General features: G+C 52.5%; 1 protein-coding gene across 31 annotated transcripts in view, besides 1 other annotated feature; it reads right to left on the bottom strand.

Moving 5' to 3' along the window:
* APBA2 (amyloid beta precursor protein binding family A member 2) overlaps window positions 1–15,662 on the bottom strand; it is a 232,342-nt gene that overhangs the window by 173,355 nt on the left and 43,325 nt on the right. For 2 of the 31 annotated variants that reach the window (NM_001353791.2, NM_001353793.2), the window contains exon 1: window positions 10,707–10,957. The exons of the other annotated variants lie outside the window; for them this stretch is intronic. The gene's annotated coding sequence lies outside the window, so the exon portion shown is untranslated. Of the gene's footprint in view, window positions 1–10,706; window positions 10,958–15,662 lie in introns of those variants that run through there. 31 annotated transcript variants of the gene reach the window in all.
* Window positions 9,062–9,561: an enhancer, noted in NCBI's record as "H3K4me1 hESC enhancer chr15:29227603-29228102 (GRCh37/hg19 assembly coordinates)". NCBI's record gives its function as "activates a minimal SCP1, AML or CMV promoter by ChIP-STARR-seq in naive H9 embryonic stem cells {active_cell/tissue: H9 hESC(naive)}" and the evidence as "EXISTENCE:reporter gene assay evidence [ECO:0000049][PMID:30033119]".

Raw genomic sequence — 15,662 nt, 5'->3', positions numbered from 1 at the left:
GCCTCTGCCAGCCCAGGACCCTCAGGTTCCCACCTTCTAGCAGCTTCCACTCCACCTGCTCTTCCAGGTGCCACCAGACTCCAGAACCCACGTGGGGCAAGCAGCATGGCGGGGCTGCAGTGCTGCCCGGACCTTTCTGCAGGGCTTCATCCCAAACCACAAAGGAGCATCGGGCAACCACATTTCATGTTCTTTTCCAGTGTCTCTTTTTCACACTGAAGTCTGAAGTGGAGGCTTCCTCCTGCCCCTCTCTGCACGTATCTCTGCACAGTACAGCTGTTCCATTCATTTCTCAACATCGCCTTGGTTCCTTCGGCACGCCGAGCAGCACACCAGGTTATAAAAGGCACAGGTTCTCCTGCTCACCAGGAACTCACACCTTAGGGGACATCGACTCTAAGAAACAGATGGGCTTGAGGGCATGTGGCCAGTATTGCGAGGAGCGAGTCCGCAGGGTGGTCCAGACCCAGCCTGGGAAGGTGTCCTGCGGAAGGGCGGAAGTAGATGCCATGTGCAGAGGAAAAACGAGTGAGGCGGGTGATGGAGACCCAGGAGGCATCCCAGGCAGAGGGTACCGGATGGACAGTGACACGGAGGTAAATCCAAGGGCCGGAGCAATTTTCTGGGGTGACTGAGCGTACAAAATAGAGGATGGCAAGAGGCAGGTTGGCAGGTGATCTAGGCTCCTGCACACCTTTCTGCATGGCTTAATCCCAAACCGCGAAAGAGCTCTGGGTGACCGCAATTCATGTTCTTTTCCAATGTCTCTTATCTGATGTCTCTTTCGGAAGAGACACAATTTGATCCTGAAAGCAGTCGCAGCCATCAGCAATACTCAGTCACATGTGCTGCTGGAAAAGATCACTTGGCTGCAGAGTGGAGAGTGGGCCAGGGTGAAGAGTAGGCCAGGGTGGAGAGTGGGCCAGAGGTGGCAGGATGCAAGGTTTAGGGCAGGAGGCTGTTCAAACGTCCAGCAGACACAGTAGGGAGTTGGGGAGCATGGGGGCCACGGCAGGGCACTGTGTAGCGGCCACCCCAGCCTCCCCAAGCAGGACAAAGGGGGCCCTCTGGGATCCATAAGAGCCTGTGGGCACACCATGTAGGGGCGGTGTCTGGTTGGCCCATGGGCCTTTGGGTCTGGAATGGGTGGAGCCCAGGGTGCAGCCACAGCCCAAGGAGGGGCCAGGGCTGGAGGAGCCAGGGCTGGAGGAGCCAGGGCTGGAGGAGCCGGGGCCATCGATGAGCGTCCTGGGGAGAAGGGCCCATGATTCCTGATGGAGGAGGCCCAGAACACTGTAGGCATCATGTACTCAGTGCTGAGTGAAAAGCTTCCCGCCACTCAGAATGGTCACGCTCGGGATGGCTGAGACATCTGCAACTCACAACTCTCACCTCCCAGCTGTGGCACTGAAAGCCTCCCTCAGAGCCTTGGTTTCCTAACCCACCGAACAGGATTAACTGCACTTGCCAGAAAGGGCTTGTGGTAGCATTTCATAGGACAGTGCAGGCCAATGCTCTTTGGAAGTCGCAGATGCAGGGCACAGATGGGAGATGGCATGGACAGGTCCTGCTCGTCAAATAGCCGGGGAGTCTCCCATGCTTCTTGGTCTCCCTAAGCTGGGCCACATGGCAGCTCTGATCCATGGCACGTGAGCAGAGGGGACCGTGTCACTCCCAGGCAGAGGCAGGTCTGAGCTGTGAGCCCTGTAGCCTGGCCAGAACCGGTGTCCCAGGGCAAGGAAGAAGCCTTTAGTATGTTCACGCTGTTGAGGCTCACCCAGCCTGACTGGCCAGAAATCAGTTAGGCCACAGACAACCCTGTGGCCTCAGGTAGAAGGCCACTGTCTCATTCTGAATGGTAGTTTTCAAAAACTCAAGGAACCGCGTGAGGAAGGAAGGGGGATTTATAAATTCCTGATTCCATTAGCTTTGCTCTGTAATTTTGGGTGAGTCACAGCATGCACAAATTAGAGGGCTGAAAACATCTCCCAGACAGTCTGGCAGAAGCCCCCCCTGAGAACGAGGAAACCGAGGCCCAGGAAGGAGCAGAGTCGCTCAGGGGCTGCTCCAGCGGCCACGGGCCTCGGGGACAACGCAGGCCCAGCCCGGGGAGAAGCCCCACGCCAGCCTTCTCTCTCTCCCTGCAGGGAAGAGGCAGCCACACAACTGGGCATGTCCTTCTGGCCTGCACACCTGGGAGTCTCCAACAGACGCTCACTCGGGTCCTGGGGTAAGGATACCTCCCAGGTCGCTTACTGGAGAAGGAGCCACACATGTGTCCCTGGGTCTGATGGTTGCAAGAGGAAATGGAAAGTGGGGGATCCCGCGCTGGCAGGAAGACCCTGGCAGTCTGCATCAGGCAGGTGGGTCCAACAACCGACCTCAGGGTGGGCTCAGGCTGGAAAAAACCACACCGAGTTCCTCCCCCAAGAAATACTGAAGACAGCAGCAATAAGTTCCATGTGCTCCCCATTCGCCCCTCACAGAAAAGGCCAAAAGGCATGACCATGGAATCATCAAACTATTCCCAACACAGTTCCTTATGGGAAAGAACATGGAATGAAGTCACAGCCAACAACAGAACTCCAAGGTCCCCTAGTAAAGCGCAGACCCCAGACAACAAAGATACGAGTGGGTCTGAGTCAAGACAGAAGACAGGATTACACGGGAAATGGCAGCAGTGAGCTGCGAGTGCTGCAGGAAGGAGCGCGGCCCACAGTGGAGGGAGACAGCACTCCCACGACGAAGCGCCACATCCTGCACCAGCAGACTGTTCACAATTGCCCACTTGCACCTTCAAGACCACTTCCAGGAACTTCTTCCTTTGACTTTTATGTTGTTAAAATAATTTTACTTTTTTAGAAAACATAGTGTAAATATTTAGCTTAATAAATGGCTATGAGGCCAGGCGCAGTGGCTCACGCCTGTAATCCCAGCACTTTAGGAGGCTGAGGCGGGCGGATCACGAGATCAGGAGATCGAGACCATCCTGGCTAACACGGTCAAACCGTGTCTCTACTAAAAATACAAAACAAAATTAGCCAGGCGTGGTGGCGGGCACCTGTAGTCCCAGCTACTCGGGAGGCTGAGGCAGGAGAATGGTGTGAACCCGGGAGGCGGAGCTTGCGGTGAGCTGAGATCGCGCCACTGCGCTCCAGCCTGGGCGAAAGAGCGAGACTCCATCTCTAAATAAATAAATAAATAAATAAACAAACAAAACGGCTATGAAACAACCTTTACAATCCTCAGGCAGGGAAGAAGAGGGGCCCTACCGGCCACTCCAGCCCTCGGGACCCAGCCTCCCTGTGTGCCCCTGACCACATCCTGGTTGTAGGGTAATCATAGCCCCACCCTGCTCCATGTAGCACATGTCCCTACACACACACTATGTGTGCCTTTTATGTCCCCTTTAACCGTTGGTTGTGCTTCCACCTCTTTTTTTTTTTTTTTTTTTTTTTGCCTCCCAAGTTATTAACTGAAGAGTCGTTGGTCACACAGCATTTCCCATGGTTTGGCTTTTGATGGCCAGGTGCCTGAAGCACAGCCAAACATCGTCCTCTGTCCTTTCCGTTCCTGCAAATCAGTGGTTGGATCTGGAAGTCGAATGAGATCCCTGTTAGAATAGGGGCAGACCAGCTCCCGGGCAGTGTGGCTCTTCCTCCCTTCCTGAGATGTCAGCAGGCCCCAGGGCCACCAGCGCCCAGCTTGTGAATTCAGATGTGCTGAGACGCTTCAGACACAGAGGTTCCATCCTCTATACATGGAACCTCCCAACCTGCCACCTGCTCACCCAGTAGTGCGGCCTGCATAAGAAAAGCAGGATATATATTTCAGAGCTTTCCCTTATTTACCAAAAATATATAATTGGTTCCCTAGCATTCTCCAAAGGTGACGGATTAGGTTTATTTCCTGAGTATTGTTAAAAAAACTCATGGACTTAAACATACTGCATACATTTCAACCTACTGTGATTTTTACTCTTACTGATGTTCAAATTGTCCATCTCTGGCCTCATCAGGTGAGCTCACGAGTCCTTTTAACACTATCCTCGTGGACTTTGACTTTAATAGTTTTTTTCCTCTTTTAATGCTCTCTCTCAGCAGAATCACATCCTCACAGTCCAGGGTGGCTCCTTTATTATCTGCTATGACAAAGCATTTAGGTTCAACTTGTACATTTCCCGCCCCCAACCCGGTATCAACCATTTGTCCAAGTAGTCTCAGCTTCTTTCAGCAGAAAACTGAATTTCAAGACATGACCCGGGACTGGGGGTGCTCCGTGTGATTGGTTTGGCCACTGATTCCAGGCCTCTCCAGGGAACGCTCTAGGGCTACTTATGGATTTGTAGTTCCGGATTCCAGAGGCTTTGTTTTTCTTTTTCTTTTCTTTTTTTTTTTTCTTTTTTTTTGATACAGAGTCTCGCTCTGTCACCCAGGCTGGAGTGCAGTGGCGTGATCTCGGCTCACTGCAAGCTCCACCTCCCGGGTTCACCCGGGTTCACGCCATTCTCCATTCTCCTGTCTCAGCCTTCGGAGTAGCTGGGACTACAGGTGCCTGCCACCACGCCCCGCTATTTTTTTTTTTTTTTTTTTTTTTTTTTTTTTGTATTTTTAGTAGAGACGGGGTTTCACTGTGTTAGCCAGGATGGTCTCGATCTCCTGACCTCATGATCCACCTGCCTCGGCCTCCCAAAGTGCTGGGATTACAGGCGTGAGCCACCACGCCCAGCCTCCCGAGGCTTTCTTAACCCGCAGCACCTTTCCTCCGTATCTCCTTTCTCCTCGCCACTGAAAATCCTGGTCAAGGTCCTCAGAGTTAAAAGATCACATCAGTAATCATTTGCTTCATCTCACGTTACACACAAAACATGCTAGGAATAACAATGCTGAGACTCTCACTACCCACAGGATTCCGGGAAACCACACGGGACTTTTTCTCTCCTGTTTCTTCCATTCTCTTCCCACTTTGTAGGGCTGTAAGCACGGAGATGGAGCGCACAGCCACGTACACTACACTTGCCCCTCAGCTGCCTCCGTGGATCGTGGTTCCACACAGAACTATGGACTGGACGTTCCCCCCAGTCCTTACGGCTCTGTTTCTGTGCTTATCTACTCGTCTGAAGCACACTGTCTAGTTCCATGGCTCCCAAGCTGCACGGAGGCACCCTAGGGGCCCTGCTGCACCCACAGGGGCACTGCAGCACAGCCCAGATGTCCATGGGGAAGGCAGTGACCCTTGGCACCTGTCAGCACCGCATGCACCACTGCCTTGAGGCAGCTCTCGTTTCCAAGGTGAGATCACACTACATTCCTCTGAAAGACGTCTCGTGAGGCCAGAAGTAGCTGTAATTAAAAGCAAATTCCTGCTATCACGCTTGTTGGGATAGTACCATTTAAAAAAGGAAGAAGAAAGAAAAGAAAAACAAAAAAAATGAAAACACAAGTGCTGGTGAGGATGTGGAGAAATTGGAGCCCTTGTACACTGTTGGCATAATAGAAATGTAAATGGGTGCAGCTGCTGTGGAAAATAGTATGGCACTTCAAAAAATTTTAAAAAGAGCTACCATATGGTCCAGTAATTCCACTTCTGGGTATATCCCAAAAGAACTGAAAGAAGGGACTCAGGGAGACATCTGTACACCCCTGTTCACAGCAGCATTATCCACAATCCAAATGGCGGAACCAACCCACGTGTCCAGCAGCAGAAGAACAGATCAACAAAATGTGGCATATTCCCGCAATGGAGTGTTATTCAGCACTAAAAAAGGAAGCAATTCTGACGCATGCCACAACGTGCAGGACCCCTACGGACACCATGCGAAGTGAAATAAGACAGTCACAAAAGAACAAATACTGCACGATTCCACTTACATGAGGTACCTAGAGAGGTGAATTCAGACAGAGGGAAAGTAGAGTGGTGGCTGGGAGGGGCTGGAGGAAGGGGGAAAGGAGAGGTACTGTTTCATGCGCACAATTTAAGTTTTGGGAAGATGAAAACGTTTTGGAGATAGCTGATGGTGATGACTGCAAAACAATGTTGATGTACTTAATTCCACCGAACTATACACTTAAAATGATTAAGATGGTATTTTATGTTATGTGTACTTTGCCACAATTAATAATGTATATGCTTATATTAAAATACCACATGTAGGCCAGGTGCGGTGGCTCATGCCTGTGATTCCAGCACTTTGGGAGGCCTAGGCAGGCAGATCACTTGAGGCCAGGAGTTTGAGACCAGCCTGGACAATGTGGTGAAACCCCATCTCTACTAAAAATACAAAAATTAGCCAGGCGAGGTGGCGTACCTCTTGTAGTCCCAGCTACTTAAGAGGCAGAGACATGAAAATCGCTTGAACAGGGAGGTGGAGGGTGCAGTGAGCCAAGATTGCACCCCTGCACTCCAGCCTGGGCTACAGAGCAAAACTCTGTCACGCTGTCTCAAGAAAAAATATCACACGTACCCCCATAATATGTATAACTATGATATGTGTATAAAAATTAAAAATAAAAATAAACTTTTAAACAGCAAGTCCCACACAAAAGTCAGCATCAAACAGGAAATGAGAATGGTGCCAATCTCATTCAGCAGACACACTTCCGTTTGTAATTGTGGTTTAGGATGAAATACATTTGTTTCAATTTATGAGTATTATTTCTCATGTGGCTTCCAAGTTGTTGGGACATAAATACCATGTGGTTTGGACCTAGCTACTTAAAGAGTAGAGTTGTTAGCTATGTGTTTTGGTCTAGAAACACCATGAAATTGCTGAGATCCAGGGCACCGTGGTCTGAGAAAGTTTGGCAATCTCTGCTCTGGAGGCTCCTAAGGGTGCTGGTTGCTTTTTAATAACTAAGTCCAAATCCCTGATGACCTCAGGACACCTGCTTATCAGGTGGGGGGTTGGGGACATTCACACAGTGGCAGAGAGGCCACAGGACTGGCTGGAGCTAAAGACACTAAGTCCCTGACTTACTTCTAATGAACGAAATACTCCAGAAGGGGGCCAGGCGCGGTGGCTCATGCCTGTAATCCCAGCACTTTGGGAGGCCGAGGTGGGCGGATCACGAGGTCAGGAGATCGAGACCATCCTGGCTAACACGGTCAAACCCCGTCTCTACCAAAAATACAAAACAATTAGCCGGGCGTGGTGGCGGGCGCCTGTAGTCCCAGCTACTCGGGAGGCTGAGGCAGGAGAATGGCGTGAACCCAGGAGGCGGAGCTTGCAGTAAGCAGAGATGGTGCCACTGCACTCCAGCCTGGGCGACAGAGTGAGACTCCATCTCAAAAGAAAAAAAAGAAAAAAAAAAGAAACTAAATCCAACACCCTCCATCCTCAGTGGAATCCCTGAAGCCCGGAGTGGGAGAGAGGCCTAACTCTAGTGACCAGGCACTTCACAGTGGGGCAGAGTAAGCAGCCACCAGGAGGCCCTTTCTCCTGCAACCTCTGAGCTTCAGGAACCGAGGGAACCTGGGCACAGCTCCCCAGAGCAGCGAGGCTCCACCTGACCTGCCAGCGATGTTCAGAGCCACACCCCAAGCGCACTCTGCAATGTGGGAATTCAGTCACGGCAAAACTGTCGTGACAGGGTTCTGTCCCTCAGAAGATGGCACACCTGAATGTGACCCTCTCAATACATCCTTAGATATTGCCCTTCCTCCCCAGCACCATCTGAGCAAAGCACCCCCGGCCCACAAGGAACTAGAAGAGGCAGGAAGTGCCTCAAATCCTAGCTCAGCATGCCACTGTATGACACCTCTTCTGGTGCCCCTCCTGGCAGCACACTGTCCCCGGTATAGAGGGGTGGATGATGGCTCAGATGACCTCGAGACCACCACCGGGCACATGGGAGGCCTGTGTCTCGTGAGAGAGCGGAGGCATACGATCCTGGAGGTAGAGCCAGGAAGACCTGAATAATGCTTTGCAGTTGCAAACTGCTTTCTCTTTCTGCACAGATTTATTAGTGAGAGGCATCATTTCTATTATGCCCATTTCGCAGACTGGAGGGAGGGAGACTAAGGCTCAGAGACACACAGGGCTCCCGGTAGAGGCCACCATCTGCATGAGGGTAGATCGAGGACCATTTCTGCCACTGGCCCCTGGTCTCCTGTCTGTCCCAGCAGGGCCCCTGCCTCCCATCCCCCACCAAGTCTCAGTTTCACCAGAGCCTCCAACTCACATCCTGTGCAGGCCCCACTGTGCTTCCCTTTAACTTTACTTGGGGTCTATCTGCCTGTCCCCAGGTGGCACAGCCCAGTCAGGGAGCCCTGGGGCTCTGCGGACACTGGCTGTTACCAGCCAACTCTCTGCCTCGCTTGCCTCTGCAGGGGACAGCCAGTGATAGAGAGGAACAAAGGAGACACTCAAGCAGGCACCCAGCACGTGCCTAACGCGCAGGCACTAGTGCCTTGGGAATAAAGCTGCTATCACTTCTGCGAAATACACTGGGGACTACGCTGGCCTCCGAAACACAGAACCGGTGTATCCAAACCCCCTTCTGACCTGAACAGCCATTCGCCAGGTCCACATGGCTCCGGGACAGACCTGGGCCTGGGTGCTCTGCTCCTGGCTGTGCACAAATGCTTTTCCTGCCCATGACTTTGTAGCCTAGTAGGAGGGGCTCATAGCTCCCTAAGCAAAGCTGGCTGGCGGGTCACAGAAGGACAGCAGGCTGGGGACTGAATGGACCATGGCTTCTATTTAGAACATCTCACTCAAGAACTAAATGTGCAAGAGAGCTGGCAGAAAGACAGCTATGGGGCACAACTGGAGGAGCAAACGCAAAACCATCACGTCTTCCACATTAAAATGTACAGGGCCGCTTCTAATGCCGCAATCAGTGCAAGCCAAACTCTGCGTCTATTTTCTACTAGATTGGAAAACCTCTCAGGAGAAAGAAAAATTTTCCAGAGGGCCAAAAAACTTCATTCTTCTGCAAGCAATCAAATAAACATGTAACAAAACAAAATCAAGACTTCAAAAATTGATCTGAACACACATGCACTGCATTTCACCACTCTGGTGTGGGAATAGGGCTTTCTGCCTAATCATACATTTTGATTAATAGAGATGAGCTCTGCATGAATAACCTATTGTTAAAGAACATGAACTAAAGTAGTCTAAAACTTAGCGAAACAGAAATTAGGCCTTTTCTTCTTCTCTTGGACAATTAGGGGACCCAAATTAGGAACAAACTCACTGGCCCTTGCCCCGACTCCCTTCCTGTAACCTCAGCCGAGACCAGGTGGCTGTCCTCATGCAGACCTGGCCTTGGATCTGTAGTGTCTGGAGAGAGGCTGAGGGGAGGGCTTGGCTGACTCCTCTGCCTCCTCATGCCAGTCCTGCAGATTGAACCCTGCCCTGCTAGGCTGGGCGCTGCAACCCTGAACTTCATGCTGCAACCTTGAACTTCAGCCCCAGATACCTCTACTTCCTCTGTTCGCCCCCTAGCGTCCTACGCCCTGACAGCCACTGTCCATTTCCAGAGGGGCTCCCCCAGCAGCTCACTGCCTGGAGGCCCAGACAGCAGCGGCAGTGAGCTCTGCTGGCCCTAGAATCCCCCAGGGGCAAATTAAAATCCACCCGCCTGGACCCTAAACTGCAGGTTCCCACTCCCCATTCCCATCCTTGCCATGCAGATGACACGTTTCCAAACCCATGCGAAGTGCTGTGCATGGTGAGCAGGTAAAGACTGGGCCACGAGGTGCATCGGATGGAAGGGGCCCCAAGGGTCCGGGCCACCGTGCAGGGCTCTTGCTCTCTTTAAGGCGACCTGTGATTTAGGGAGTATCAACCAGCATAAAAATCCAAAGAAACCTAGTGTTGGAGAAATACCAGTCTCTCCTCGTTCCAGTTCACTCTGTGGGGAAGTGGAGAATCCCTGCTTTTTTCTCTTACAACAACAAGGCTACACTGAGCATGCCAGGAACTGTGTGGGCATCATTCATGGATTATAGTCACCATGCCATGGGAGCACTGAGAACCCCTGCCCTCATTTCATAAGCACGCAGCGTGTCAGTACAACAGAGCAGAGGACACCCAGGTCTCCGGGCTCTATCCCAGTTCAGGGACCTGCCTCCCTTCCCACCTGCTCTCCTGACGGGGAAACACTGCCAAAGTAATCACAGCAAGGTGTAGGTGGCAGGGCAGAAATCCGCTCAGCCCATGTGGGCCATAGCCCATCTCTGTGACAGCCCTGGGTGACCGAGCTTACCAAGCACAGCATGGGGCAGTCCTTCAGAGGTGAACCATCTCCTATGGCTCTGAGGAGGCCCCAGGGGATAAAATACTGAGAATGACAAGTGACTGCCCTGAGCCACCACCAAATCCAGCAACCAAAGCACCTAGAGCCAAGGCAGAGCCCAGTGTGGCATTTGTAGCTGGCCCCAAGCCCCTGGTTTCCCGCCTTCCCACACAGGCGCCAATAGACCTCGCACACCTAGACCCTGTGGGGATGTCACTGGTCACTACAAGGTCTTCGTCCTGCCTCTAAAGTTTTCCCTTTTCATTATCTCAGAAAGACCAGCGTTGAGCTGCCAGACCTTGACAACAAGGTCTACAGACCACACAAGGACAGCTGGACTCCAGGCAGATGGGCACCTACTTAGCCCAATCAGAACCCACACTGAGCCCTGGCACTCACCTGCAGACAGGAGTCCACAGCTGCTTGTCCTGCCTCCCACCCCAAACCATTCCCCACACTCACAATCATACACAGCAAGCTCCACTGAGTCCCTCCTGGCTCCAAAGCCTGCAGTGGCACCGGCCCCAGGACATAGGACACAGTCCAAGCTCTTCACTCTGTTCCCAAGGCTGTGGAGGGCTGGCTGGCCTGTGAGTCCTGCTCTCCTCCACCCCCGTCTCTTCTCCCCAGCCCCCTCTTCACAGGTTTAGAGACCAGGCGGAAGGAGCTGCCCACTCCATGCCTTGTTTTCCCGTGTGCAAGCTGCTCTCTCTGCCTGGAACCACCCCCACCTCCAGCCCATGCCCCCCTTTCTCCTGGGCTGCCTCTACTCCTGCAGCCTCGGCACACAGTCACTTCTTCCTGGAACTTCCCCAGGCCCTCTGCTCCGCCCATGTGGGCAGCCCCTCCTTGCGCTCCAGCATCAAACCCCAGATAGTGGACTCTTTGAGGGGAGGAGCTGTGCCTGTCATTATTCTACCCTCAGTCCCTGCTGGGCCTGGCACAAGGCAGAGGGGATAGAGGTGCTCTGGAGAAAACTGCTCCACAGGCCAAGCACGCAACCTGTCGGGCTCCAGCAGGCCCTGACTTTGGACCAATAAAACCTCAGGTCGAGGACTTCGCTCCTAACTCAATGATAAGGTCTGAAAATCCGAGCCAGTGTGGGCTTGCCATTGCTCCTACAACTGTCTTTACTAGCAGACTGTGAGCCCCACACTCTCTTTCAAAGAGCAGGACATTTGTTTGAAGGGAGTCTTATTCCATTCAGGGTACTCTCACAAAATACCATAAACTGGGTAGATTATACATGACAGAAAGTGGCTTGTCTCAGTTCAGGAGGCTGGGAAGTCCAAGACCAGAGAGCCAGCAGATTCCGTGCCTGGTGAGTACCTGCGTGATGGCTCAGAGACGGCAGCTTCTCACTCTGTCCTCACATGGTGGAGGGCGGGAGGCTCTCTCTGCAGCCTCTTTTAAAACGGCATTGATCCCATTATGAGGGCTTCACCATCAGGACCTGATCACCCACTGCTATAGTTGGAATGTGCCCCCCCAAAGTTCATGTGTTGGAAACCTAATCCCCGATGCAACAATGTTGAGAAGTGAGACCTTTAAGAGGTGATTAGGTCCTGAAAGCTCTACCCTCATGAATGTATTAATGCCATTATCGCGAGAGTGGGTTAGTGACTGAGGAGCAGGTTCCTAATAAAACAATGAGTTTGGCCCCCTTCCCTCTCTCGCTCACTATATGATGCCTTCCACCATGTTAGGACGCAGCAAGAAGGCCCTCAGCAGATGCAACCCTCAACCTTGGACTTCCCAGCCCCTAGAACTCTGAGCCAAATAATGTTCTGTTCATTATAAATTACCCAATCTGTGGTATTCTGTTTCAGCAGCAGAATACAGATTAAGACACCTCCATAAGGCCCCATCTCCTTGGGAATGTGAATTCCAATGTCTCCCTCCCAAAGGTCCCATCACTTTGGGGATAAGAATTCCAAAATATGGATTTGGTGGAACACAAGCATCAGATCACAGCAAAGAACCCCTCATTTTCATTCCCTCAGGAGCCACGATGGGACCTGGCTTTAAACAATCCACTATCACAATAGGCAGCACTGACCACTAAGGCCACACAGGTCACTTCTGCTGGCGAGATGGGACCAACCCCCTATGGGGCCGTCCACCATCTCCACTGTCAGGGAACCCTGGCTGTCCTGCCACAGGCTTTGCAGGAGGCTAAGCCACTGTGGACGTTGCTTTTACTGCCCTGGTGGATAAAAAGCATGGCAGAAGCCCATGGGTGTCTCTGAGACTGCAGCACTAGGCCCACCTGCATTGTCACATCCTGCATGTGCTCAGAGGAGAGGGTCTCTAAACACCATGGGGCTGTGCTCCAGGGAGGGCTGCCTTCTGGGTTTTAAACCCTACCCCACTGCAAGGGATGGGTACCTCATGGCACTGCACTACAGTACAGAAGCCAGCACCCCATGCTGTGGACTGCAGGGGTGCTCCAGGTGCCCCCCTCAGCTCTCCAGGGTTCAGAAAAACCTGCTCCCTGGTGAATGTGAACCTCTCTTCTGCCAGCATGAGGGTCTGCTCCACCCTGTCACCCTCCTACCCCTCATCTCATTGGCTGGCTCCCTTCCCCTCCCAAGGACATCTTACCAAAGCAGAGACAGTGATCCTGACACCAGGTCGGTCTAGGCAACTGTGGCCTGTGTGGCCGTATCCCCTGGGATGCAGCAGCACAGAAAGGAGGGCTAGACTCAGCTGCAGCCATGCCCAGACCCAGTTGGGAGGGCTGTGTGCTGTAGATCCTGTCCTGGATGCCCCTCTGCCAGGCCAAGGCTCACACGCAGGGACCTTTCTCCACTTGAACGTCTGTGCATTGTAATATAACTTCCCAAAATATTACTCTGCAATTATTTCCAAAGACTTAAATGGGATCTCCAAATACGTACAATTAAGACTAAAATTGTAATTTTAAATTACTGATAATTTGAATAAACATAAAACTTTCCTATCTCTAAGCCAAATGCAGACAATAACATCCCAATTAACCCTTAGGTACTGCCAAACTCCGGAAAACAACCACTTTGGACTCTCAGAGGGAGAAACAACTCCTGAACTACATGGAGCCTGGCAACAGACTCTGGAAATAGTCATGATCTTCCACCTGTGCAAAGCCAGATGCTTCCCCGGCTGGACCCTATGGAGCAGCGCTGCCTTGCTAAAAGGGCAGTGGATGTTTGGGCCCACGGTGGCAACAGCACCAGGTCCCAGTGAACAGGGGAGAAGGACGCAAGGTCATCCCTCATCAGTCCCACTTTGCTAGGGGATGGGGGCACAGGAGGCAGTGGCGTGAGACTCCCTCTGAGTCTCAGCGGCTTTAGTTAGCTCTGGAACCTCCTTGTGGCCTCCCATTCCCAGGCCCCCGCTAAGATCCAGGAGCTACAGGGGGACCGACTGGAGTAGTCTCTCACCAGAGGCCACCAGCAGCGGGATGAGATGTTCATGTAAGCTGTCCTGCTGCCCTGAGGGCCAGGAGAGGTGACAAGCACGCCTGCATCCCACATCAACAGATGCTCCCAGCTCCCCACCCCAGCATGGTTTCTGGCCTACGGGGTACCAGAAGAGGAGCAGGGACTTTCCGTGAAGGGCTGTGCCTCATGGAGGGGGCTGGGGAGGTGGCTTCACCATGATTCCCAAACAGGGCTTCTAGCAGACCCCTAGGATAGCTGTACCGAGTCCCCAATGTCTGCGGACGCGGCACCCGAGTTTCCTGAGAATCCAGAGGCAGGAGGCCATGACCAGAGCTGCCTCACAGGGGAAGAGGAGGAGCTGCCCAAGGAGGAGCTGCCTGCTGCTCCCACCAGTGTGGGGCCAGCCTGGGGCCGCCTTGAAGGAACAGCCCAGGAGCACTCCCGAGGGGCATGGTGGAGGATAGGGAGAGCAGTCAAGGGCATCAGCCCAGCAAGGCCTCCCACAGGTCGCAGGGAAGAGCTGCAAGTTCCCAGCAGGGTCATCTCTAAGAAACCTACCCGAGGGTCACTGGAGACAGGAAGTCCAAGTGAAACATCTGCTGGACCCCAGAAGTGCCACCCAGCCCACTTGTGGAGAGAATGCCCTCTCCCCAGACACTCCATCCCTCGGAACACTCCCTGGCCAGCAAAAACAGAGGCAAAGAAAGAAAGAAGGAGACACACAGCCCTCCCTCCCCAGCCGGCTCCAAGACAGGTCAGGCTCCAGCCGGGTGGGAGAAGCTCCAAAGAGTCTATAATTACTCCTTTTCATGACTGACCAACAATGTTCCTGGGACTGAAAGTAACCAAAGAACCTTCTATTGCCTTAGAACGACAGAAAGCTCCAGGGCCTGCCTGGAATGTTCATTTGAGCAGAAAAAGAGCTCACCCCCAGGGCAGGCTCAGAGGGACCACGAGGGTGAAGATGCTCATGTCTATCCTGCTCCCATCGTGGAGAGCTCAGCGCCCACCCAGATGGACCTTATGGTCCTTATGACTTCTGAGGGGAAGTCAAGCCTGAAACTGGGCCTTCTTCTGGAAACAGCCCTAGCAGCAGCAGGGACCACCACAATGCAGCCCTGCCAGCCCATTCCCACCTATACTGGCGGGGGCTGGAGGGTTGGGGGGCTGCACTGTCAGGGAGGGACGGGAGACATAGCTTTTGCCCCCCTTCCACCTCCCCAACTCAGCTCCTTCCACCTTTTCCTACCTGTTTTTATAGAGATGCGAATGGGCCAGTTTTACCCTCTAGGTAAATAACTGCTCAACAGCTTTGAGGATGGGCAGAAGCAACCTTTCCTTTAGTAGGTGGGTGGCAGATCTACACTTCCTCATACAAGAACTGTGGTCTTTAGGAATACATATTCTCCCTCCCCTTGACGGAATTAGGAAAGTAATACTTTTTACACTTGAAATTAAGAGCAGAACAGATGGTGATGGTTTAGAAATCTGTTCATAAGAACTGATGCTGGCAGTGGGACCATCAACAAGACATGGATAATGGGGGCAAATTGGTTTATTGCAATGTGCACCCAAGTCCCACTACTGCAATCCGAAAAGCCAAATACTGAGAATGGGGGACAGGTATGGACAGAAGGTTTAGCCACAGTAAGAGGGCAAAACAACTAGCAACGCGGAAGTGACCACAGAAAAACCCCCTTCTTCTTGTGTGTCGCCTGGGCCAACGCTGTTGCCCCAGGGAAGCCTGGGCGCCAGCACCATACAAAGTGCCATGCTAAAGACAGCCCATCAGCTCCCAGTGATAGGCGGGAAGTGCTACACCCTTGGATCTGAGTGGTCACTCCTCTATTTGTTGAGGACATCTGGGAGCCTCCCATTGGCAGCATCACTCATGTGTGTCGCAAATTCACTGAAACCACAAGGCACGAGAAATCCTACGGATTAGCAGCCACCCATAGCCAGGTGGCTTGGCCTCGTTATTTATCCCTTTCGGTGT

Source organism: Homo sapiens, chromosome 15, assembly GCF_000001405.40.
Source record: "Homo sapiens chromosome 15, GRCh38.p14 Primary Assembly".
Taxonomy (NCBI): domain Eukaryota; kingdom Metazoa; phylum Chordata; class Mammalia; order Primates; family Hominidae; genus Homo; species Homo sapiens.
This window is presented reverse-complemented; position numbering and strand designations above follow the sequence as displayed.